At 41.4% G+C, this 25602-nt stretch overlaps 1 annotated feature.

The window, feature by feature from the left end:
* Positions 4260-5174: an enhancer, noted in NCBI's record as "NANOG-H3K27ac-H3K4me1 hESC enhancer chr19:23906366-23907280 (GRCh37/hg19 assembly coordinates)". NCBI's record gives its function as "activates a minimal SCP1, AML or CMV promoter by ChIP-STARR-seq in naive H9 embryonic stem cells {active_cell/tissue: H9 hESC(naive)}" and the evidence as "EXISTENCE:reporter gene assay evidence [ECO:0000049][PMID:30033119]".

The raw sequence follows: 25602 nt of genomic DNA, 5'->3' as shown, positions 1-25602 counted from the left end.
TCGGTATCAGGTGGTTCCTAATTGCATTCCAGTTCTGCCACTTATGGACTGTTTTGACTTCTCTGTGCTTGACTCTTCAGCTGTGGAGTGAGGATAATACTGCATAACTCCTAGGGTTTTGGTAAAATTAAAGCAATTGATACAAATAAAGGTGGCCAAACAATGCCCAGCACATAGTAAGTATACAGGAAATTTATTAACTCTTATTTTTTTATTCTGTTAGATCATGATCAATGTTAAGCCTGAAAACAAACTGGCCATATCAGTGGTTTGTAACCCATGTTCATCCTCATCAGTCTGAGGCTTGAATGTTTTTAATATTATCCTTGGCAAATTCCCATATATTCACATACAGCATGGATATGAATATTATGGAAAGATTTCTCATTGAGTACTTCTCTTTAGCACTCCAGTAACTCTAGATAAGTAAGCACTTAAATACGGAGAGTTTGTCAGTTATAAAATTAGAAAAGGAGGCAAATTATTTCCTCATCTACTTGTTTAATAAATTTCTTATTACCAAGTAATTATTTATGTTCATTTGATAAATTTAAATGTAGTTTAAAAGTACATATTTAATGGCCGGATGCGGTGGCTCACGCCTGTAATCCCAGCATTTTGGGAGGCCGAAGCGGGTGGATCACAAGGTCGGGAGATCGAGACCATCCTAGCTAACATGGTGAAACCCCGCCTCTACTAAAAATACAAAAAATTAGCCGGGTGTGGTGGCGGGCACCTGTAGTCCCAGCTACTAGGGAGGCTGAGGCAGGAGAATGGCGTGAACCCGGGAGGCAGAGCTTGCAGTGAGCCGAGATTGCGCCACTGCACTCCAGCCTGGGTGACAGAGCAAGACTCCATCTCAAAAAAAAAAAAAAAAAAAATTTAAATAATGTTTTCCTTTAACAAGTGAAAGAAATCATTAAATATTTAGAGACAATTTAGAGACTCCAAACAGTTGCTTTAGAGTCTGTCTTTTAAAGTACTATATTATTTTGAACATGAAAAACCAGCTGGGCACAGTGGCTCACGCCTGTAATCCTAGCACTTTGGGAGGCCGAGGGGGGCAGATCACCTGAGGTCGGGAGTTCAAGACCAGCCTGACCAACATGGAGAAAACCCATCTCTACTAAAAATACAAAATTAGCCGGGCATGGTGGCACATTCCTGTAATCCCAGCTACTTGGGAGGCTGAGGCAGGACAATCGTTTGAACCTGGGAGGCAGAGGTTGCAGTGAGCCAAGATCGTGCCATTGCACTTCAGCCTGGGCAACAAGAGCAAAACTCCATCTCAAAAAAAGAAAAAAATAATCAAAATATTTTATCCTGAGTGTGGGGTTCAGACTATTCATGATATTAAAAGTTTACTTACCTACATCACTAAATGTGCAAGCTATCTGAAATAAAAAATACGTGTATATATTTTCTGGAAATTTAAGATAAGACACTTTATTATCTAGCCCAATTTTTTAAAGTTTCTTTTTTTTAGTAAAAATGGATTAATAGTTTGTTTTTGTTTTTTGTTTTTGTTTTTTTTTTTTTTTGAGATGGAGTCTCACTCTGTCGCCAAGCTGGAGTGCAATGGCGCAATCTTGGCTCACAGCAACCTCTGCCTCTCAGGTTCAAGCGATTCTCCTGCCTCAGCCTCCCGAGTAGTTGGGATTACAGGCATGCGCCACCACACCCAGCTAATTTTGTATTTTTAGTAGAGATGGGGTTTCACCATGTTAGTCAGGCTGGTCTTGAACTCCCAACCTCAGGTGATCCACCCGCCTCAGCCTTCCAAAGTGCTAGGGTTACAGGCATGAGCCACGGCACCCAGCCTAATAGTATTTTTTATTGGCAAATCAGAGTTCTATGCATTTATAGGGTAAATGTGATGTTTGAATATATGTATATAATATGGAGTGATTGCGAGGCATGGTGGCTCACGCCTGTAATCCCAGCTCTCAGGGAGGCAGAAGCAGGAGGATAGCTTGAGCCCAGGAGTTCGAGACCTGCCTGGGAAATATAGCGAGACCCTGTTCTCCACAAAAAGGAATAGATAGATAGATAGATAGATAGATAGATAGATAGATAGATAAATAGATGGAGTGATTAAGTTAAATAACATATCTATCAACTTGCTTACATATCATTTTTTGTGGTGAGACATTTGAAATTTACTCTTAGTTATTTTGAAATATACAATGCATTATTGTTTACTATGATCATGCTGCTGTGCAACAGATCTCAAAACCTATTTACCCTGTCTATTAGAAACTTTGTACTTTTTGATCCACAACTTTTTATTTCCTTTTCACTACCCATAGCCTCTGGTAACCATTAATCCACTTTCTACTCTTTTGAGTTAAATTTTGTTCTATATATAAATGAGATCATGCAGTATTTGTCTTTATTTGTCTAAATGTTGGAATTTACCCTTTTTAAAAGCTGAATAGCATTCCATTGTGAATCTATGCTACATTTTAAAAAGTTAATTTAAATATATTCATCTACTCTTTGAAAAACTCGTGTGTTATGGGAAGATATTTCTTTGTTAAAACATGTATTAGGCCAGGCGCAGTGGCTCACACCTGTAAATCCAGCACTTTGGGAGGCCAAGGCAGGCAGATCACCTGAGGTCAGGAGTTCGAGACCAGCCTGGCCAACATGGTAAAGCTCTGTCTTTACTAAAAATACAAAATTAGCCGGGCATGGTGGTGGGCACCTGTAATCCCAGCTACTCAGGAGGATGAGGCAGTAGAATCGGTTGACTCCAGAGGCGGAGGTTGCAGTGTGCTGAGATTGTGCCATTGCACTCCATTTGCCTGGGCAAAAAGAGTGAAACTCCATCTCAAAAAAGGAAGTCTTAATTTAATTCAGCATGTACATATTTTATTAATAACTAATCTTTACTGAGCACTAACTATAACACTATATGTGAATGAATTTAATTCTCACAGTAACTTAATAACATAGGTATTATTATTCTCATTTTACAGAGGAAGAAATAGAGGCACAGAGAGAAATTACTTGCTCACAATAGCAGAGTTAATATTAAAATACAGGCAATGTTGCCTCCAGAGATAACATTCTTGAGTACAACAATAAAAATCCTTCAAAAAAAAAATATTTTTAACACTCATTTTTACTAAAGATTAACAAAAAATTGAATATTGAATATGTTTTCACTTTTATATGTGTGTGAATGTATAAAATGGTACATAAAAAATTTAAGCCGAAAAAAGATAAGTTAGTTAATATTTGTAATAAGTACAATTATAAAGTAGCTAATTATGATTTGCAGGTGATATCTTTGTTTACTTAGATAACAACAGCAACAAAAAGACTATTTTAAAATTTTATTCTATCCGGGCATGGTGTTTTATGCCTGTAATCCCAGAACTTTGGGAGGCTGAGGTGGGGAGATCAACTGAGGTCGCAAGTTCAAGACCAGCCTAGCCAACATAGTGAAACCCTGTCTCTACTGAAAATACAAAAATTAGGTGGGCATGGTAATGGGTGCCTGTAATCTCAGCTACTTAAGAGGCTGAGGGAGTAGAATCGCTTTAACCCAGGAGATGGAGGTTGCAGTGAGCCAAGATCATGCCACTGCACTCCAGCCTGGGTGACAGAGCAAGACAGTCTCAGAAAAAACAAAACAAAACAAAACAAAAACCGAAAGGTTTATTCAAGTGTGTTAATCATTCCAGAAAGTCCCACTCTTTAGGTAGAGAAATTTTAGTTAACATGGGGTCAGCATCTTTATAATAAGCCCTGGAACAAACTCTTTGTCTTTCCCTGGTGGAAGCTAATGTTAATCCAAAAGTATGGGCACTTCAAGGAAAAATATGCCAAACTATAACTACTAGGCCAGTCCAGACCCATCTTAAGGATCCCACCTTTTTTCCTAACCAGCAACAATATCCGCTAAAGCCAGAGGCTAGGAAAGGACTAGAAGCCATTATTAATCTGAAAATGCAGGGCCTCCTCAAACCCTGTAACAGCCCCTGCACCACTCCAATATTAGGAGTGCAAAAAGCCAATGGAAAATGGAGACAATCATAAAATTAACAGGTTATTTTTCTCAGTTTTTCTTCCATAAGAAATAGCAATGTAAGAGACATCAGAAGGTGTGGGGAAAAGAAGGAGAGATCAGATTGTTACTGTGTCTGTGTAGAAAGAAGTAGACATAGGCTAAGACTCCATTTTGTTCTGTAACTAAGAAAAATTCTTCTGCCTTGATATGCTGTTAATCTGTAACCCTACCCCCAACCCTGTGCTCCCTGAAACATGTGCTGTGTCAACTCAGGGTTAAATGGATTAAGGGCTGTGCAGGTTGTGTTTCGTTAAACAAATGCTTGAAGGCAGCATGCTTGTTAAGAGTCATCACCACTCCCTAATCTCAACCACTCCCTAAGTACCCAGAGACACAAAACACTGCGGAAGGCTGCAGGGACTTCTGCCTAGGAAAGCCAGGTATTGTCCAAGGTTTCTCCCCATGTGACAGTCTGAAATATGGCCTCGTGGGAAGGGAAAGACCTGACCGTCCCCCAGCCCGACACCCGTAAAGGGTCTGTGCTGAGGAGGATTAGTAAAAGAGGAAGGAACGCCTCTTTGCAGTTGAGATAAGAGGAAGGCTTCTGTCTCCTGCTCGTTCCTGGGCAATGGAATGTCTCGGTGTAAAGCCGATTGTATATTCCATCTACTGAGATAGGGGAAAACCGCCTTAGGGCTGGAGGTGGGACATGCTGGCAGCAATACTGCTCTTTAAGGCATTGAGATGTTTATGTATATGCACATCACAAGCACAGCACTTTTTTCTTTACCTTGTTTATGATGCAGAGACATTTGTTCACGTGTTTACCTTCTGACCTTCTCTCCACTATTACCCTATTATCCTGCCACATGCCCCTCTCTGGGAAATGCCCAATAATGATCAATAAATGCTAAGGGAACTCAGAGGCCAGTGCCGGCGTGGATCCTCTGTATGCTGAACGCTGGTCCCCTGGGCCCCCTTTTTTTTCTCTATACTTTGTCTCTGTGTCTCTTTCTTTTCCAAGTAACACCCACAGGTGTGGAGGGGCAACCCACCCCTTCAGAGGGAACAGATAAAATAGTGGAAAGAAACAAGTTAGCTAATCAGGCAGCCTAGTCAGTTACAATGAAGCCTCCAGGCATCAACACACTTGAAACCCCTCTAATCTATGAAGGCTCCATAAAAGAAATTAAGCTTTAGTAGTCCTGAAAAGATAAAATGGACCATCTCTCAAGGGTACACTTTCCAGCCCTCAGGATGGCCACAGTCAGAGAATGGCAAATTCCACTTGCCAGCCTCCAGCCAATGGAAAAGTCTTTAAAATCCATCAAACATTTTACTTGGGAAAGAATAAAATTTGTCAGTGTCCTCAGAGATTGTTTTCAGGAAATACCTTTTTTTTTTTTTTTTTGAGATGAAGTCTCACTCTGTCGCCCAGGCTGGAGTGCAGTGGCACTATCTCGGCTCACTGCAACCTCCGCCTCCCAGGTTCAAGCGATTCTCCTGCCTCAGCCTCCCAAGTAGCTGGGACTACAGGCGCCCGCCACCACACCTGGCTAGTTTTTTGGTTTTTGTTGTTTTTGTTTTTGTTTTGTATTTTTAGTAGAGACGGGGTTTTGCCATGTTGGCGAGGCTGGGCTCGAATGCCTGACCTCGTGATCAGCCTGCCTTGGCCTCCCAAAGTGCTGGGATTACAGGCAAGACCCACTGCTCCCGGCCAGGAAAGAGTCTATTAAAAACAGTCAAACAGGTTAATGCTTGCAAAGTCTGTCTTAAAGATAATCTCAACAGGCCACTTCTTTCTTCTCAAATCCAAAGGATGGGAAGCTAACCAGGAAAAGACTGACAGATAGACTTTACCCACATGCCAAAGACAGAGGGCATGCAATACCTCCTGGAATTAATACTTTCACAAATTGGGTAGAAGCATTTCCATGCCATACAGAAAAGACCTCTGCGGTAATAAAAGTGTTAATTAATGAAATTACTACCGACTTTTGTCTACCTAAGTACCTCCAAAGTGACAATGGCACCTCATTTAAGGCAGCCATCACACAGTGGGTCTCAAAAGCACTAGGAATATAGTATTATCTCCATTGTGCTTAAAGATCCCAGTACTCAGGAAAGGTAGAGAAGACAAATAATATTGTTAAAAGACATCTTGTCTTTAAAGGCTGAATAGTATTCCATTGTGAATCTATGCTACATTTTAAAAAGTTAATTTAAATACATTCATCTATTCTTTGAAAAACTTGTATATTATGGGAAGATATTTCTATGTTAAAACATGTATTAGGCCGGATGGGCCTAATACCTATCTGACTGTGGCCATCCTGAGGGCTGGAAAGCATAACCTTGAGAGATAGCCCAGTCTCAGGCAGGGCGCAGTGGCTCACGCCTATAATCCCAACACATTGGGATGCCAAGGCAGGCAGATCGCCTGAGGTCGGGAGTTCGAGACCAGCCTGACCAACATGGAGAAACCCTGTCTCTACTAAAAATACAAAATTAGCCAGGTGTGGTGGCACATTCCTGCAATCCCAGCTACTCGGGAGGCTGAGGCAAGAGAATCGCTTGAACCCAGGAGGCAGAGGGAGGTTGCAGTGAGCCGAGATCATGCCATGGCACTCCAGCCTGGGCAACAAGAGTGAAACTCTGTCTCAAAAAAAAAAAAAAAAAAAACTGTCCCCAAAAAACTCACCTTTCTTGGGTTACTTTTCTTTCCATGGCTTTACTGCAAGTAAGAAATACCCCTTCAAAGTTAGGTCTGAGCCCTTTCAAGATGCTGTATGAATGGCCTTTTCTTACAATGGTTTCTATTAGACCAGGAAACCTCTGAATTGGTTAAGCATGTAACCTCTCTTGCTCACTTTCAGCAGGAATTAACACATTTAGCAGAGTCTCAACCCCAGAAAATAAGAACACCTTCATTTAGCCCAGATTTGATATTGGTGAAAGCTCTCCCCTCTCTCTCTCTCCCTCCCTAAGCGCAAACTGGGAAGGACCTTTCACTGTTCTTCTTTGAACCCTGTTTGCAATGAAAGTTACAGGAATTGACTCTTGGATACATCATACTCAGTTAAACCTGGAAAGCTGAGGGAGCAACCCTGAACAGCCTAGAGGAAAGTCCCAGATATTAATGTGAAGAAATATAAAAATTATAAAAGATGAGTACATAAGTGAGGCCTACTCCTTCTACTCAGTCCCATTCTTACCTTACCAAATACTTTCAGTCATTCCTACCTTTCCTCTCAAGATTTGCCATCAACTATTATAACTTCTTTTTGGTGCATATTTGCAGGGAAATTTTGATTATTTATGGGATTACATTTGTAACTTCATAGACCCCAAAAGGGAAATTCTATAAATTGGTGAATAAAATTTTAGATAGAAATTATCTACTACACCACCCTTGTGCGAATTGTCTTTTTTTTGTTTTTGTTTTTGTTTTTGTTTTTTGAGATGGAGTTTCCCTCTTGTTGCTCAGGCTGGAGTGCAATGGCACGATCTCAGCTCACTGCAAACTCTGCCTCCCAGGTTCAAGCAATTCTCTTGCTTTTGCCTCCCGCGTAGCTGGGATTACAGGCATGCGCCACCATGCCTAGCTAATTTTGTATTTTTAGTAGAGACGAGGTTTCTCCATGTTGGTCAGACTGGTCTCGAACTCCTGACCTCAGGTGATTTGCCTGCCTCGGCCTCCCAAAGTGCTGGGATTACAGGCGTGAACCACTGCCCTGGGCAGGGAATTGTTATACTCACTTTACTTTTTGCAGTGGGATTATATACTGTAGCACCCCCCAGAGTGGAGTATCAAACAAAGAATCTCAATTGCTGTAGTATATTGCTTAATTATTATCTTTATAGCAGGGATGATAGTCTATAATCACTGAGTCTGCTAAGACTTCATATTGGGTTTGGTAATATGTCACACCCTAGCTATGCAAAAAAGATTACATAGACAAACAGCTTGTATATAAGAAAGGATCTTGTATGGTAAATTTTTGTTCTAAAGAGAATAACTGGTTGTTTAAAAAGAGGGATGTTAGGCCGGGCACAGTGGCTCACGCATGTAATCCTAGCACTTTGGGAGGCTGAGGCGGGTGGATCTCCTGAGGTCAGGAGTTCGAGACCAGCCTGACCAACGTGGTGAAAGCCATCTTTACTAAAAAATACAATAATTAGCCAGGCATGGTGGCGGGCACCTGTAATCCCAGCTACTTGAGAGGCTGAGGCAGGAGAATTGCTTGAACCTGGGAGGTGGAGGTTGCACTGAGCCGAGATTGTGCCATTGCACTCCAGCCTGGGTGACAGAGCAAGACTACATTTCAAAAAAAAAAAAAAAAAAAGCACGCAATGGCCAGGCATGGTGTCTCACGCCTGTAATGCTAGTATTTTGGGAGGCCAAAGTGGGTAGGTGGATAACCTGAGGTCAGGAGTTTGAAGCTAGCCTGGCCAACATGGTGAAACCCTGTCTCTACTGAAAATACAAAAATTAGCCAGGCATAGTGGCACGTGCCTATAGTTCCAGCTACATGGGAGACTGAGGGAAGAGAATCGCTTGAACCTGGGAGACGAAGGCTTGAACCCCAGAGTTGAGATTATGCCACTGCACTACACCCTGGGTGACAGAGAGAACCTCCACCTCTCCAGTTCAAGCGATTATCCTGCCTCAGCCTCCCAAGTAGCTGGGACTACAGGCGCCCACCACGATGACCTAATTTTTTTTTGTATTTTTAATAGAGATGGGGTTTCGCCATGTTGGCCAGGCTGGTCTCGAACACCTGACCTCGTGATCTGCCCACCGCAGCCTCCCAAAGTGTTGGGATTACAGGTGTGAGCCACTGCGCCTGGCCTAGTCTTTATTTTAAAACTTACAACCATCACATAATCACATACACAGAGTAAGAAAGATTAGCTCATTTTCCTGAAAAGCAGTGTTTCATCTTTTATTTTATTACATCTGTTCCACATTGCTGTGATATTGCTGTCGAAGTCCACTCTCACCAGAAGATCACCTGTATGAATGTGAATAGACTGACACTGGAGAGTTCCAGTATCGGGGAACCTGCCCCGATAGTCACGTAGGTTCGTTTCAATTTTCCCTAAGCGACAGCCGGCTTGAGAAATAAAGGGACAGAGTACAAAAGAGAGAAATTTTAAAGCTGGGCATCCGGGGGAGACATCACAGGTCGGTAGGTTCCGTGATGCCCCACAAGCCGCAAAACCAGCAAGTTTCTATTAGGGACTTTCAAAAGGGGAGGGAGTGTGCGAATAGGTGTGGGTCACAGACATCAAGTACTTCCGAAGGTAATAGAATATCACAAGGCAAATGGAGACAGGGAGAGATCACAGGACCACAGGACCGAGGCGAAATTAAAATTGCTAATGAAGTTTTGGGCACCATTGTCATTGATAACATCTTATCAGGAGACAGGGTTTTGAGAGCAACCGGTCTGACCAAAATTTATTAGGCAGGAATTTCCTCTTCCTAATAAGCCTGGGAGTGCTATGGGAGACTGGGGTCTATTTCACCCCTACAGCCTCGACCATAGAAGACGGCCACGCCAAGGGGGCCAGTTCAGAGACCCACCCCCAGGCGTGTATTCCCTTTCCCAGGGATGTTCCTTGCTGAGAAAAAGAATTCAGCGATGTTTCTCCCATTTGCTTTTGAAAGAAGAGAACTACGGCTCTGTTCCACCCGGCTCCTACGGCTCTGTTCCGCCCGGCTCACTGGGGCTGTCAGAGTTTAAAGTTATGTCTCTTGTTTCCTAAACATTGCTGTTATCTTGTTCTTTTTTCAAGGTGTGTGCCCAGATTTCATATTGTTCAAACACACATACTCTACAGTTTGTTCAGTTAATGCAATTATCACAGGGTCCTGAGGCGACATACATCCGCCTTGGTTTAGGAGATGACAGGATTAAGAGATTAAAGTAAAGACAGGCATAGGAAATCACAAGGGTATTGATTGGGGAAGTGATAAGTGTCCATGAAATCTTCACAATTTATGTTTAGAGATTGCAGTAAAGACAGGCATAAGAAATTATAAAAGTATTAATTTGGGGAACTAATAAATGTCCATGAAATCTTCACAATCCACGTTCTTCTTCCATGGCTTCAGCTGGTCCCTCCGTTTGGGGTCCCTGACTTCCTGCAACATTCCAGCTCAGCACACTCACTTGAACTGTCACTTTGCTTTTCAGGCAGTTAGAATGCCTTTGAAGAGTGAAAATAAAGTGACTGCTGAATAAGCACAGAATTTTACATGAAAAAATGTTTGTCAATTGTTTAAAATTGCATTGCATGGACTACAACTTTTAAAATGTAAAATGCATAACGTAAATACTACACAACAAAATAGAATAGAAATGGTGGATTTAGCCACAAAGAACAGCCAAAGCTCTATTATAGCAATATGGAAAAATATATAGCTACTGTCAGAACAGGAGAACTTGAAGTATTTGAGAAATGTTCTCTAAGAATCTAAAATTATTTTAGATTTAGTTTCTATAAAAATGTTTCTTAAGCATTTTTAATTTTCAGAGAATTTTAAATGTATGTGTTGTTTAGTTTTGCTGAAGAATTTAAATATAATACAATAAAATAATACATATAAAAATCAACTTTTCTGTTAAAAAGCAGCTTAATTTTGGGACCAAAAAGTTAAATTTTACAATATTTTATGCTGACCAATTGGATCAGAAGCCTCTTTCTTACAACTAGGAGAGATGACACAAAGACAGCTTTTATGATGAATGGGAGAGAAAATTATTACCAGGGGCTAGATAATCATTGTTTCACTAATCAGTGTTGATTTTCATTACTGTTTTTTCTCAAATTATGTTAAATACGAAGTAATGGCCTTGTTCCAAGTAATTTTAAAAAATCTTATTTGTTCAGTCAGCCAAAATATTAACCAATAGGAGGCATAGAAATGAAGTTATTTGAGAGTTGTAATTTATATTTTAATATTAAAATACTTCTAGAAATAACAAAGGAAGGAAAGAAAAGATATACAAACAAATGAAAGAGTAGGAAGTGATTACTCACAATAGCTAAGTTATGGAATCAACCTAAGTGTCCATCAACAGATGAATGGATAAAGACAATGTGGTATATTTACACAATGGAATGCTATTCAGCCCTTAAAAAGAAGGAAGTCTTATTTGCAACATTGATGAACCTGGAGGACACTGTGCTAAGTAAAATAAGCCAGCACAGAATAAAAATATATCACATAATCTCATTTCTGTGTAGAATATTAAAAAATCAAATTCATAGAAACAGTGAGTAGAATGATAATTGCCTGTGGTTAGGGGTGGAGGAGATGTTGGTCAAAAGTAGTGGGTCTTCCCTACATCTCTAACTTTAACAAATAAGTTATTCTTCTCTCAGTTTTGATTCCCAGGTAATATGAGTAAACATATTTGAATCTGACTCGAATATGTTTTATGAAATTTGGTTGACATTTAAGTGTGTCTGACTTACCTGGAATATTGAAATTTTCCATGAATCCAAATTGAGTACTATATATAAACAATTTTTTACTAAAAGACTGTGAGGCAGAGTAAGATTCATAAAATTTTATTATAATATTAAAAAAGTGTATTAACCATGTTTCCAGTAATCCCTCTGAACACAGAATTCTCAGTTCCTAGTAGTCACTCTGAGTCACTCAGGGAAAATTGGTATATCTCTAAAGAGGCAGAAGCAGGTGCTGAGTGGATGTGCACCATGCTGCACATGTATGCTTTCCACATGCACTTATTAGGGTCTTAATTTAATTGGGCTGTTATTTGCATGGCTGGATACTTACTAAATCTAGTCATATTATTTTTTTTGGCTGATAATGGCATCTGGGCATCTGTTACCCTTTTTTTTTTTTTTGAGATGGAGTCTCACACTGTCACCTGGGCTGGAGTGAGTGCAGTGGCATGATCACGGCTCACTGCAAACTCCTCTTTCCGGATTCAAGTGATTCTCCTGCCTCAGCCTCCCGAGTAGCTGGGATTACAGATGCTGCCACACGCCCAGTTAATTTTTTGTGGTTTTAGTAGAGACAGGGTTTCACCATGTTGGCCAGAATGGTCTCGAACTCCTGATCTCGTGATTCACCCGCCTCAGCCAACCAAAGTGCTGGGATTACAGGCATGAGCCACCGCTCGACCCTACCCATTGATTTTATACAATTATTTGGCTGAAAAATAAGTCTTTTGTTAATTTACTCTAAATCAAGAGACTAGATTTGCAATCTGCAGTCTTTCAATGTTAAAGCAAGTCAGAGGGCTGGATGCGGTCTCAAATCAGGAGTTTGAGACCACCCTGGCCAATATGGTGAAACCCCATCTCTACTAAAAATACAAAAATTAGCCGGGCATGGTGGTGTGTGCCTGTAATCCCAGCTATTCGGGAGGCTGAGGCAAGAAAATTGCTTGAACCCAGGAGGCAGAGGTTGCAGCGCCACTCCACTCCAGCCTCAGGAACACAGCAAGACTCCATGTCAAAAAAAAAAAAAAAGCAAACAGGGAAGAGCAATGTGTGTATATAGTATGCATTTTCCTACCTATAAAAATTATCCTTGTATTGCCTTGAATACTTTAGTAAGCCACTTACTAAAATCAAATCCTTTAGCCAGGATTTTAAATTTCAAAAGATCAAAAACATACTGACTGAGAAAAACAAAAATCTTGTTTTTGCTTCTGGTTAGTAATATGGCCATTTCAAAAAGCATAGTAATTATGCCAAGCCTTTGAAAAAAATGTGTTTTAGATTATTTATTCCACTTCAAATCTTTTCTCTATTACTTCTCTCATGTTAATTTAAAAGAAACCATCTACATAACTCTTCATGCATTCAAGAAACATTCATATTAAGGTGCTTAAAGTTCAATATTATATTACAGTATTGTAGAATGCTCCACAATTAGCAGAAGTACATTTTTAATAAATTCATGATGTTTTCAAGGTTTTTTGTTTGTTTGTTTGTTTGTTTTGAGATGGAGTCACTCTGTCACCCAGGATGGAGTGCAGTGATGTGATCTTGGCCCACTGTAACCTCTGCCTCCCAGGTTCAAGCAATTCTCCTGCCTCAGCCTCTGGAGTAGCTGGGATTACAGGTGCCTGCCACTGTGCCTGGCTAATTTTTGTAGTTTTAGTAGAGACAGGGTTTCACCATCGTGGCCAGGCTGGTTTTGAACTCCTGACCTCTTGATCCACCTGCCTCAGCCTCCCAAAATGCTGGGATTACAGCCATGAGCCACTGCGCCTGGTCATTTTCAAGGTTTTTAAATTGTGAAAACAAATAATTAGGTATGCTTTTTCATAATAAGGCCAATTCTAGCAGGGTACCCACTCATCTCCACAGTATTTCTGTAATGAATAGTGTAAAACTGGGCCACTAGAATGCTGATTTAACCAGAATGAGTTCAGCCTTGCTGGTAGACTGTTGGTATTCCAGAGGCTGATCATTCACTAAGCCTTACTAAATGCTGCCTAAAAATGCCAGTGAGCACTTTTAACCAGGTTGCCTTTTTTCTCTCATTGATGTGGTCATGTTGTGGTCTCTTCTATTTATCATAAGCTATTCCAGATTAGAGGTGATTATTTCTCACACAAATGAGACCTCCTTTTTTTCCTCTTCCATGGGATCCTCCTGTTCTCCCTACTTGAAGCAACATGTAGGAGGCAGATACAATGACAATATACAAATATATTTCCTTCCATGTGGCCACTATGAGCAGATTACAACATGGCCCAGCTGGAAGTCACTTACTTCCAGGTCAAGGAGTGTTTTTCTATGATGTGTCTCTTTCTATTAAAAGTACCTCTGGCCGGTCACAGTGGCTCATGCCTGTAATCCCAGCACTTTGGGAGGCCGAGGCGGGCAGATCACCTGAGGTCAGGAGTTTGAGACCAGCCTGACCAGCATGGAGAAACCCTGCCTCTACTAAAAATACAAAATTAGTTGGGTGTGGGTGGCACCTGCCTGTAATCCCAGCTACTAGGGAGGCTGAGGCAGGAGAATCGCTTGAATCTGGGAGACAGAGGTTGCGGTGAGCCGAGATCACACCATTGTACTCCAGCCTGGGCAACAAGAGCAAAACTCCGTCTCTAAATAAATAAATAAAGTAAAATAAAAAAAATAAAATATATAAAAGCACCTCTGATTTAGTTTACCCAATAGTAACCTAATTTCATGGGTGATTTCCCACCACAGTCACACATTTTTTTGCAAGAAAATGAAAGATTACAGGTGTACAACAAACTGATAATCTTGAGGATAATCTTAGAATTTTTTGTTCCCACCTGAATGGACATTTTTTTTTTTTTTTGAGATGGAGTCTCACTCTGTCACCCAGGCTGGAGTGCATGCAGTGGGACCATGTTGGCTCACTGCAATCTCCATCTCCTGGGTTCAAGCAATTCTCCTGCCTCAGCCTCCTGAGTAACTGGGATTACAGGCGCCCACTACCACACCCGGCTAATTGGTTTTTTTAAAAATATTTTTAGTAGAGACGGGGTTTCACCATGTTGGCCAGGCTGGTCTCAAACTCTTGACCTCAGGTGATCCACCCACTTCCACCTCCCAAAGTGCTGGGATTATAGGCGTGAGCCACCGCGCCCGGCCCTGAATAGACTTTTAAAAGTCTTTCAGTTGCTTTTATTATCTCAGTAAACAAAGATATCATCTGCAAATGATAGTTAACTACTTTCCAGTTATATTTATTGCAAATATTAACTATTGTTTTCTGGCTTATTTTTTTATGTACCATTTTATATACTAATACACACATAGAACAATAAAAATGCATCCAATTATTTAATTTTTGTAAAATGTTTATTAAAAATGAGTGTTAAAAATAATTATGTCTTTTCTGCTTGAAGAGAGTTTTTATTGTTGTACTGAAGAGGGTTATCTCTGGATACCAAGCTGCCTGTGGTTTTTTTTTTTTTTTTTTTTTTGACGGAGTCTTGCTCTGTCACCAGGCTAGAGTGCAGTGGCATGATCTCGGCTCACTGCAACCTTCACCTCCTGGGTTCCAGCAACTCTCCTGTCTCAGCCTCCTGAGTAACTGGGACTACAGGTGCCTGCCATCATGCCCAGCTAATTTTTGTATTTTTAGTAGTGATGGGAGTTCACCATGTTGGTCAGGCTGGTCTCGAACTCCTGTCCTCGTGATTCGCCCACCTTGGCCTCTCAAAGTGCTGGATTACAGGCATGAGCCACAGCTCCCGGCCGCTGTTTGTGTTTTAATACTGGCTTTGCTAGTGTGACCAAGTCCTTTCTCTCAGTGGCTCTGTTTCTTCCTCTGTAAAATGAGAATAATAATAAGACCTATGTTATTAAGTTACTGTGAAAATTGAATTCAGTAACACATGCATAGTGTTACAATTAGTGCTCTGTATAAATTAGCTACTTTTAATAAGATATTTATAGGCTGAAAATTACACTAACATGCTTTAACATAGAAATATTATTTCATAACATGAGTTTTTCCACCAACAGATAAATATATATTAAATTAATTCTTCTAAAAATGTAGTATAAACAATGGAACACTATTCAGCCTTAAAAGTGGGTAAATCTCATCATTTGAATCAATAGAGATAAATTTAGAAGGCATTATGCTACATAAAATAAGCCAGACACAAATAGGTTAAGTACTGCATAATTTATTTATATTTTTGTTTGTTTGTTTTTTTGTTTTGTTTTGGAGACAGAGTCTTGCTCTGTCGCCCAGGCTGGAGTGCAGTGGTGTGATCTCGGCTCACTGCAACCTCCGCCTCCCGGGTTCAAGCAATTCTCCTGCCTCAGCCTCCTGAGTAGCTGAGATTACAGACGCCCGCCACCACGCCCAGCTAATTTTTTTGTATTTTTAGTAGAGACGGGGTTTCACCATGTTGGTCAGGCTGGTCTACAAACCCCTGACCTCCTGATCCACCCGCCTTGGCCTCCCAAAGTGCTGGGATTATAGGCATGAGCCACCATGCCCGGCCTATTTATATACTAAACCTAAGAAAGTTTAACTCAAAAAAGCAAAAAGTGGAATAATAGTTATCAGAGGTTGAGGGTGGTGGGAAAGAAATAGAGAACTGTGGCCGGGCGCAGCGGCTCATGCCTGTAACCCCAGCACTTTGGGAGGCTGAGGTGGGCAGATCACCTTAGGTCGGGAGTTCGAGACCAGCCTGACCAACATGGAGAAACCCCATCACTACTAAAAATACAAAATTCGCCGGGTGTGGTGGTGCATGCCTGTAATCCCAGCTACTTGGGAGGCTGAGGCAGGAGAATTGCTTGAACCCGGGAGGCAGAGGTTGCAGTGAGTCGAAATTGTACCATTGCACTCCAGCCTGTGCAACAAGAGCAAAACTCCATCTCAAAAAAAAAAAAAAAAGAAAGAAAGAAAGAAATACAGATTGTTTATCAAAGGGTACAAAGTTTCACATAGACAGGGTAAATAGGTTTTGACATACATTGAACAGCAGGGTGACTATAGTAAACAATCATGTGTTGTAAATTTCAAAATAACTAAATTTCAAATGTCTCACCACAAAAAATGATAGGTAAGCAAGTTGTTAGATATTTTATTTAACTTGACTTAATCATTTTATATTGTATACATAAAATAAAACATCACATTTTACACTATCAATGTATACGACTATAATTTGCCAATCAAAAATACTATTAATACATTATTTTTAAAAATTGAGAAGTAAATTTTAAGAAATTAGGCCAGAGATGCTGGGCATGGTGGCTCACGCCTGTAATCCCAGCACTTTGGGAGGCCGAGGTGGGAGGATCACCTGAGGCTGGGAGTTCGAGACCAGCCTGACCAACATGGAGAAACCCTGTCTCTACTAAAAATACAAAATTAGCCGGGTGTGGTGGTGCATGCCTGTAATCCCAGCTACTCGAGAAGCTGAGGCAGGAGAATAGCTTGAAGCTGGGAGGTAGAGGTTGCAGTGAGATTGAGCCATTGCACCCCAGCCTGGGCAACAAGAGCAAAACTGTGTCTCAAAAAAAAAAAAAAAAGAAAAAGAAAAGAGAAAAAAAAAGAAATTAGGCCAGAGAAAACAGTGTTTTTCAATCTTAAAATTTCAGAAAACGTAAGTATTTTTGTTCTTTGAAATGGCTTACTGAATGAGTGATGTAGATGAGAAAACTTCTAGTATTATGAATAGTCTGAACCCAGTAGTCAGGAATAAATTATCTTTATTTTTATTTATTTATTTATTTATTTTTTTGAAACAGAGTCTTGCTCATTGCCCAGGCTGGAGTGCAATGGCGCGATCTCGGCTCACCGCAACCTTTGCCTCCCGGGTTCAAGCGATTCTCCTGCCTTAGACTCCTGAGTAGCTAGGATTACAGGCATGTGCCACCACGCCCGGCTAATGTTTTGTATTTTTAGTAGAGATGGGGTTTCACCACACTGGCCAGGCTAGTCTTGAACTCCTGACCTCAGGTGATTTGCCCACCTTGGCCTCCCAAAGTGCTGGGATTATAGGCGTGAACCACTGCACCTGGCCCATTATCTTTATTTTTAATGTTCAAAATAATATAATACTTTAAAAGACACACTCTAAAGCAATTGTTTAGAGTAAAATTCTCTCTAAATAAATGATTTCTTTTATTTGTTAGGAAATAAAGGTATTTAAATATATTTTTACACTACATTTCAATTTTTCAAATAAACATAGGTACTTGGCAATTAGAAATTTATTAAATAAGTAAGGAAACAATTTGCCTACTTTCATTTTAAAACTAGCAAATGCTCAATATTTAAGTGCTTATGTTTATTTATTTATTTAACTTATTTTATTTTTTGAGACAGAGTCTCCCTCTGTCACCAGGCTGGAGTGCAGTGGTGCGATCTCTACTCACTGCAACCTCCGCCTCTCAGATTCAAGCAATTCCCCTGCCTCAGCCTCCCAAGTAGCTGGGACTATAGGTGCGTGCCACCACGCCTGGCTAAGTTTTTGTATTTTTAGTAGAGATGGGGTTTCACCATGTTGGCCAGGATGGTCTCCATCTCTTGACCTCGTGATCTGCGCTCCTCTGCCTCCCAAAGTGCTGGGATTACAGGCGTGAGCCACCATGCCCGGCCTTAACTGCTTATTTGTCTAGTGTTACTGGAGTGCTAAAGAGCAATACTCAATGAGAAATCTTTTTATAATATTTATATCCGTGATATATGTAAATATATGGGAATTTTCCAAGGGTAGCATTAAAAGCACTCAACTACTGGCCGGGTGCAGTGGCTCATGCCTGTTATCCCAGCACTTTGGGAGGCCAAGGAGGGCAGATCAACTGAGGTCGGGAGTTTGAGACCAGCCTGACCAGCATGGAGAAACCCCATCTCTACTAAAACTACAAAATTAGCCGTGCGTGGTGGCGTGCACCTGTAATCCCAGCTACTCAGGAGGCTGAGGCAGGAGAATCGCTTGAACCCGAGAGGCGGAGGTTGCGGTAAGCCAAGATAGTGCCATTGCACGCCAGCCTGATGACACAGCGAGACTCTGTCTCAAAAATAAAATAAAATAAATCTAACTACCATTATAGCCCAAGACTGGCTGATTAGTATAAACATGGGTGGCTGGGCGTGGTGGCTCATGCCTGTGATCCCAGCACTTTGGGAGGCTGAGGTGGATGGATCACAAGGTCTGGAGTTCAAGACCAGCCTGGCCAAGATGGTGAAACCCCTTCTATACTAAAACTGCGAAAATTAGCCAGTCGTGTTGGCAGGTGCCTGTAGTCCCAGCTACTTGGGAGGCTGAGGCAGGAGAATTGCTTAAACCCAGGAAGCGGAGGTTGCAGTGAGCTGAGATCATGCCACTGCACTCCAGCCTGGGCAACAGAGTGAGACTCTGTCTCAAAAAAAAAAAAAGAATAAACATGGGTTGCAAATCACTGATGTGGCCACCTGTTTTTCAGGCTTAACATTTATTATGATGTAACAATTAACAAATAAAAGTGAATAAATTTTCTGTACACTTGCTATGTGGTTGGTGTACCTATGGCATCATTATCAGCATTAGTTGCCTTAATTTTACAAAACCCTAGAATTTAGGCACTATTATCCTCACTGTGCAACTGAAGAGTCAAGCACAGAGAGGTCATGAAAATGTATTCAGGTCATACAGCCCACAAGTGGCAGACAAAATGCAATCAGGAACCACCTGATACCAAGTTTCAGTCTTAACCATTGTGCCCAGCACCGTCATATCCAATTCTTGCTTTCATTCCTGACCTAACATTTCGGCTTTGAATTTTATAATATAGTAGAAATAAATAGAAACTTAAAAACCACTTTTTTTTTAACCCTTAGATAGTATGTAGAACTTGATTTTTGGTTTAAAGTACTCATTACTAAGCCTAACACAAATACTTTGGTAAATGGATTCCAACAACAATATTTCTCTAGTGATTTAAAAGAGCTGCTAATTTTGCTTATAAAATATACTGAATTTTTACATTAAAAGCTAAAATGAGCTTATAATTATATAGACAATTTGTTGTCTACATCAACATCATTATTGATTGAATGGTCTACAGTGTCTGAAAGTTTCAGAAACAATAATATAATAATACTTTTTTCTATTGAAAATTTTAAAATATTGTTTTCTTAGTGACTAAAATGAAATAGATTGGCATTACTAATCAGTCACTTACCAGTGACCAAGGAGATACCTACAGTTAGGTGACTATCAGTAAAAACTGTAGACTGAACTTCACTCACAGAAAAAATTATATAAAATAAGAGTGAGAAATTTCTTCATATTGTTATAGCAATATGTGAAAGAAATATTATTCTAAATTTCATATCCACAGAGCTCATTTTATTATTGTGCAACATTTAACATTCACACGTAAAAACAGAAGACTCTGCATAAAGATGTAAGTTGGGTCGGGCGCAGTGGCTCACGCCTGTAATCTCAGCACTTTGGGAGACCGAGGTGGGTGGATCATGAGGTCAGGAGTTTGAGACCAGCCTGGCCAACATACTGAAACCCTGTCTTTACTAAAAATACAAGAAATTAGCCAGGCGTGGTGCCAGGCACCTGTAATCCCAGCTACTTGGGAAGCTGAGGCAGGAGAATCGCTTGAACCCGGGAGGCAGAGGTTGCAGTCAGTGGAGATCACACCTTTGCACTCCAGCCCGGGCAACAGTGCAAGACTCTGTCTCAAAAAAAAAAAAGAAAGAAAGAAAAAAAGAAAGTTGTGCTGTAAGTATATCACAGCAAAATTAAATTTAAAATTATGTATCATTGACCGGGCAGGGTGGCTCATGCCTGTAATCCCAGCACTTTGGGAGGCTGAGGTGGGTGGATCACGAGGTCAGGAATTTGAGACCAGCCTGGCCAACATAATGAAACCCCGTCTCCACTAAAAATACAAAAATTAGCCGGGCATGGTGGTGCACGCATGTTGTCCCAGCTACTTTGAAGGCTGAGGCAGAAGAATTGCTTGAACCGGGAAGCGGAGGTTGTGGTGAGCCAACGTCACATCACTGCACTCCAGCCTGGGCAACAGGGTGAGACTCCCTCTCCAAAATAAAATAAAATAAAATAAAAATTTAAAACAATTATGTATCATTAACCCTCTCAAAAGTCTAATTTCAAAGATATAGTATCTCACAAATTTTATATTTGCCAGAATTTGTGTATGAATGTAGGCTGGGTGCAGTGGCTTATGCTTGTAATCCCGGCACTTTGGGAGGCCGACATGGGTGAATCACGAGGTTAGGAGTTCAAGACCAGCCTGGCCAACATGGTGAAACCCTGTCTCTACTAAAAATACAAAAATTAGCTGGGCGTGGTGGCACGCGCCTGTAGTCCCAGCTACTCAGGAGGCTGAGGCAGGAGAACCGCTTCAACCTGGGAGGCAGAGGTTGCAGTGAGCTGAGATTTCACCCCTGCACTCCAGCCTGGGTGACAGAGTCAGACTGTCTCAAAAAAAAAAAAAAGAATTGAATAAGAGTTTTCTTTGACAAACAAAGAAAAACAATGCTAACTGATGTAATTTTCTCACCTGTGGACAGTATATGCCTCTTATTTTAATTAACTAATCTGAAAGTTACATTGCTAAATAAATTTTCTAGTTAAAATCAATTTTCTGTGCAATAAAAAGTACCAACTTTTAAATTAGAACCTACAAAGTACCATGTAAAATGTCATGGCATAAAGACAACAGTGAGAAAACTGTCACCAATACACAATAAATAAAGAAGGGCTGTGATGCATACATTCTTGGAATCCCCATAATAAGACAAACAAAACTGAGAATAATTAGGAAAGGAAAAAGGCAGAATTGATCTTTAAATTCAGCAAGAGTCAGCTTTGCAGCCTGGAAAACATGTCCTCTCCACATGAAGAATAAATGTTATTTCTTCACCATTGCTATTTTCCATCCCTGACTTGAAGTTACAAACTAACTCCAGCAGGAATATTTATGGTGTATTATAAAGCATCTGTGACACAGCAAGCCCTGTCATGTTTGTTTGCTGCATTTATGTATAGAAACATCCTCATGACTTATGAAGTCTCCCTAGTACTGACCTGAACAAATTGGCCCAATCAATCAATAAATTTACTTATGTCATTTATAAAAAGTGAAAGGAACAATAACTAAAGAAATGTAGGCTCATGTAGGGTTCTCCAATTAATAAATGAAAATGGAATGTTCTAACTAAATAAAATATAAATTAATGTATTAGTCCATTTTTATGCTGCTGCTGATAAAGACATACCCAAGACTGGGCAATTTACAAAAGAAGGAGGTTTATTGGACTTACAGTTCCACATGGCTTGGGAAGCCTCACAATCATGATGGAAGGCAAGGAGGAGCAAATCACTTCTTACATGGATGGCAGCAGACAGAGAGCTTGTGAAAAGAAACTTTCGTTTTTAAAACCATCAGATCTCATGAAACCCATTCACTGTCATGAGAACAGCACAGAAAAGATGCTGTTCAATCATCTACAATTCAATGATTCAATCCTCTCCCACTGGGTCCCTTCCACAAGAGGGAGGAATTATGTGAGCTACAAGATGAGATATGCATGTGGACATAGAGCCAAACTATATCATTCTGCCCCTGGTCTCTCCCAAATCTCATACATTCACATTTCAAAACCCGTCATGCCTTCCAAATAGTCCCCCAAAGTTGTTTTTTTTTTTTTTTTTTTTTTTTGAGAGGGAGTCTAGCACTGTCGCCCAGGCTGGAGTGCAGTGGCGTGATCTCTGCTCACTGCAAGCTCTGCCTCCCAGGTTCATGCCATTCTCCTGGCTCAGCCTCCTGAGTAGCTGGGACTACAGGCACCTGCCACCATGCCTGGCTAATTTTTTTGTATTTTAAGTAGAGACGGGGTTTCACCATGTTAGCCAGGATGGTCTCAATCTCCTGACCTCGTGATCCGCCCACCCGCCTTGGCTTCCCAGAGTGCTGGGATTACAGGCGTGAGCCACCATGCCCGGCCTGTCCCCTGAAGTTTTAATTCATTTCAGTATAAACTCAAAAGTCCACAGTTTAAATTCTCATGTGAGACCAGAGAAGTCCCTTCCACCTATGAGCCAGTAAAATCAAAGCAAGTTCGTTACTTCCTAGATACAATGGGAGTAAAGGCATTGGGTAAATGTAGCCACTCCAAATGGGAGAAATTGGTCAAAATAAAGGGACTGAAGGCCCCATGCAAGTCCGAAATCCAGTGGGGTGGTCAAATACTTAAAGTTCCAAAATGATCTCCTTTGACTTCATGTCCCACATCCAGATTATGCTGATGCAAAAGATGGTTTCCCATTGTCTTGGGCAGCTACACCCTTGTGGCTTTGCAGAGTACGGGCTTCTCTTTGCTGCTTTCATGGGCTGGCGTTGAGTGACTGTGGCTTTTCTGGGTGCACAGTGCAAGCTGTCGGTGGATCTACCATTCTGGGATCTGAAAGATGGTGGCCCTCTTCTCACAGCTCCATTAGATGGTGCTTCAGTAGGGACTCTGTGTGGAGGCTCTGACCCCACATTTTCCTTCCACACTGCCCTAGCAGAGGTTCTCCATGAGGGGCCTGCCCCTGCAGCAGTCTTTCATCTGGGCATTCAGGGGTTTCCATACATCTTCAGAAATCTACGTAGAGGTTCCTAAACCTCTGTTCTTGACTTCTGTGCACCTGCAGGCTCAACACCACATGGAATCTGCTGAGGCTTGGGGATTCCACCCTCTAAAGGCACAGCTCGAGCTGTACATTGGCCCGTTTCAGCCATGGCTGGAGCAGCTGGAACACAGGGCACCAAGTTCCTAGGCTGGAAACAGCACAGGAACCCTGGGGCCAGCCCATAAAACCATTTTTTGCTCCTGGACCTCCAGGCATCTGATGGGAAGGGCTGCCATGAAGGTCTGTGACATGGCCTGGAGACATTTTCCCCATGGTCTTGGGGATTTACATTAGGCTCCTTGCTACTTATGCAAATTTCTGCAGCCAGCTTGTATTTCTCCCCAGAAAATGGGTTTTTCTTTTCTATTGCATAGTCAGGCTGCAAATTTTCCAAACTTTTATGCTCTGCTTCCCTTGTAAAACTGAATGCCTTTAACAGCACCCAAGTCACCCCTTGAATGCTTTTCTGCTTAGAAATTTCTTCTGCCAGATACTCTAAATCATCTTTCTGAAGTTCAAAGTTTCACAAATCTCTAGGGCAGGGGCAAAATACCACCAGCCTCTTTGCTAAAACATAACAAGAGTCACCTTTACTCCAGTTCCCAACAAGTTCCTCATCCCCATCTGAGGCCACCTCAGCCTGGACCTTATTGTCCATATCACTATCAGCATTTTGGGCAAAGCCATTCAACAAGTCTCTAGGAAGTTACAAACTTTATCACACTTTCCTCTCTTCTTCTGAGCCATCCAAACTGTTTCAACCTCTGCCTGTTACCCAGTTCCAAAGCTTCTTCCACATTTTTGGGTATCCTTTTAGCAGTGCCCCACTCTACTGGTACCAATTTACTGTATTAGTTCATTGTCATGCTGCTGATAAAGGCATACCTGAAACTGGCAATAAAAAGAGTTTTAAGTGGACTTACAGTTCCACATGGCTGGGGAGACCTCAGAATCATGGTGGAAGGTGAAAGGCACTTCTTACGTGGTGGCAGCAAGAGAAAAATGAGGAAGAAGCAAACGCAGAAACCCCTGATAAACCCATCAGATATGGTGAGGTTTAATCACTACCACAAGAATAGCACAGGAAAGACTGGTCCCCATTATTTAATTACCTCTCACTGGGTCCCTCTCACAACATGTGGGAATTCTGGAAGATACAATTCAAGTTGTGATTTTGATGGGGACACAGCCAAACCATATCACTGATATTTATTCTGAATTAACAGATCCCTTCCCAACAAGGGGTGGGGCATTCAAAGTCTGAAGAGCAGCTTAAAGGATAGGTAAAACATGGTGGGTCAAAACAGAGTTAGCATTCCAGAAGGAATGTAATATTCTTACCTGCCACATCAAGGGTTACCCAAGGCTCCTCCATAGATATAGTTAGTTGTCCAACAGGAGCTGTGGCTGAAGGTCTCAGTCCCATCGCTCTTGGGCTTGCCTGGCTATTTCAGCCATCATGGGTTTGGGTGCTGATGGCTCCCTTCAGAATGCTGGGTAATCCCTTTTCCAATGGCCAGTTTTCTTACAATGTGCACACTGATTTATGCCCAAAGCATGGTGACTCAGATGCCCAGCTTTGGGCTTCCCACCTTTCAGCTTCCCTTGTTCAGGCCAAGAGCCAGGAGGCAATCCCATGTTTGATGTGAGCTTAAGGCTGCAGCCAAGAGCCGTGCTTGTGGGAGGTCCTTCTTGCACTTTCTGCTTCCTCTGCTTTGTCCCTGTTATTAAAAACTAAAAATTCTATATCCACAGCTGTTCCTTAGAAGTTTGGGGACTCACAGCTGCTTTTAATAGGTTTCTATGGATATCAGGGGCAGACTGGGTTATAAAATGTACTCCCAGAATGGTTCATCTTTCCCTTGAGGCAGGATCAATGTTAGTATATATCCCGATTTCTTCAACTAAACGCCCTTGAACAAAGTTGGATTCTCATCTTTGCCCTCAGAAACTTCCTTAACCTTTTTATAGTCAACAGACTTTTTCTTTTTCTTTTCTTTTTTTTTTTTTTTTGAGACAGAGTCTCGCTCTGTTGCCCAGGCTGGAGTGCAGTGGCACGATCTTGGCTCACTGCAAGCTCCACTTCCCGGGTTCACGCCATTCTCCTGCCTTGGCCTCCCAAGTAGCTGGGACTACAGGTGCCCACAACTACGCCCAGCTAATTTTTTGTATTTTTAGTAGAGACGGGGTGTCACCATCTTAGCCAGACTGGTCTCGATCTCCTGACCTTGTGATCTGCCTGCCTCGGCCTCCCACAACAGGCTTTTTCATACATTTCTTCATCCCTTTCAAAAAATAAGTGACCATATTCTCTCTCCACCCCAAGTCCTCACTGCCTCTTTGATAGTTCCACTGTGGATCTTGATCTTGAACTGCTGAACCTCCTGCCTGATATATATTATGGTTCAGGTTTCAAGACAATACCTCATCTGCATGCGC

Source organism: Homo sapiens, chromosome 19 (assembly GCF_000001405.40).
Source record: "Homo sapiens chromosome 19, GRCh38.p14 Primary Assembly".
Lineage (NCBI taxonomy): Eukaryota > Metazoa > Chordata > Mammalia > Primates > Hominidae > Homo > Homo sapiens.
This window is presented reverse-complemented; position numbering and strand designations above follow the sequence as displayed.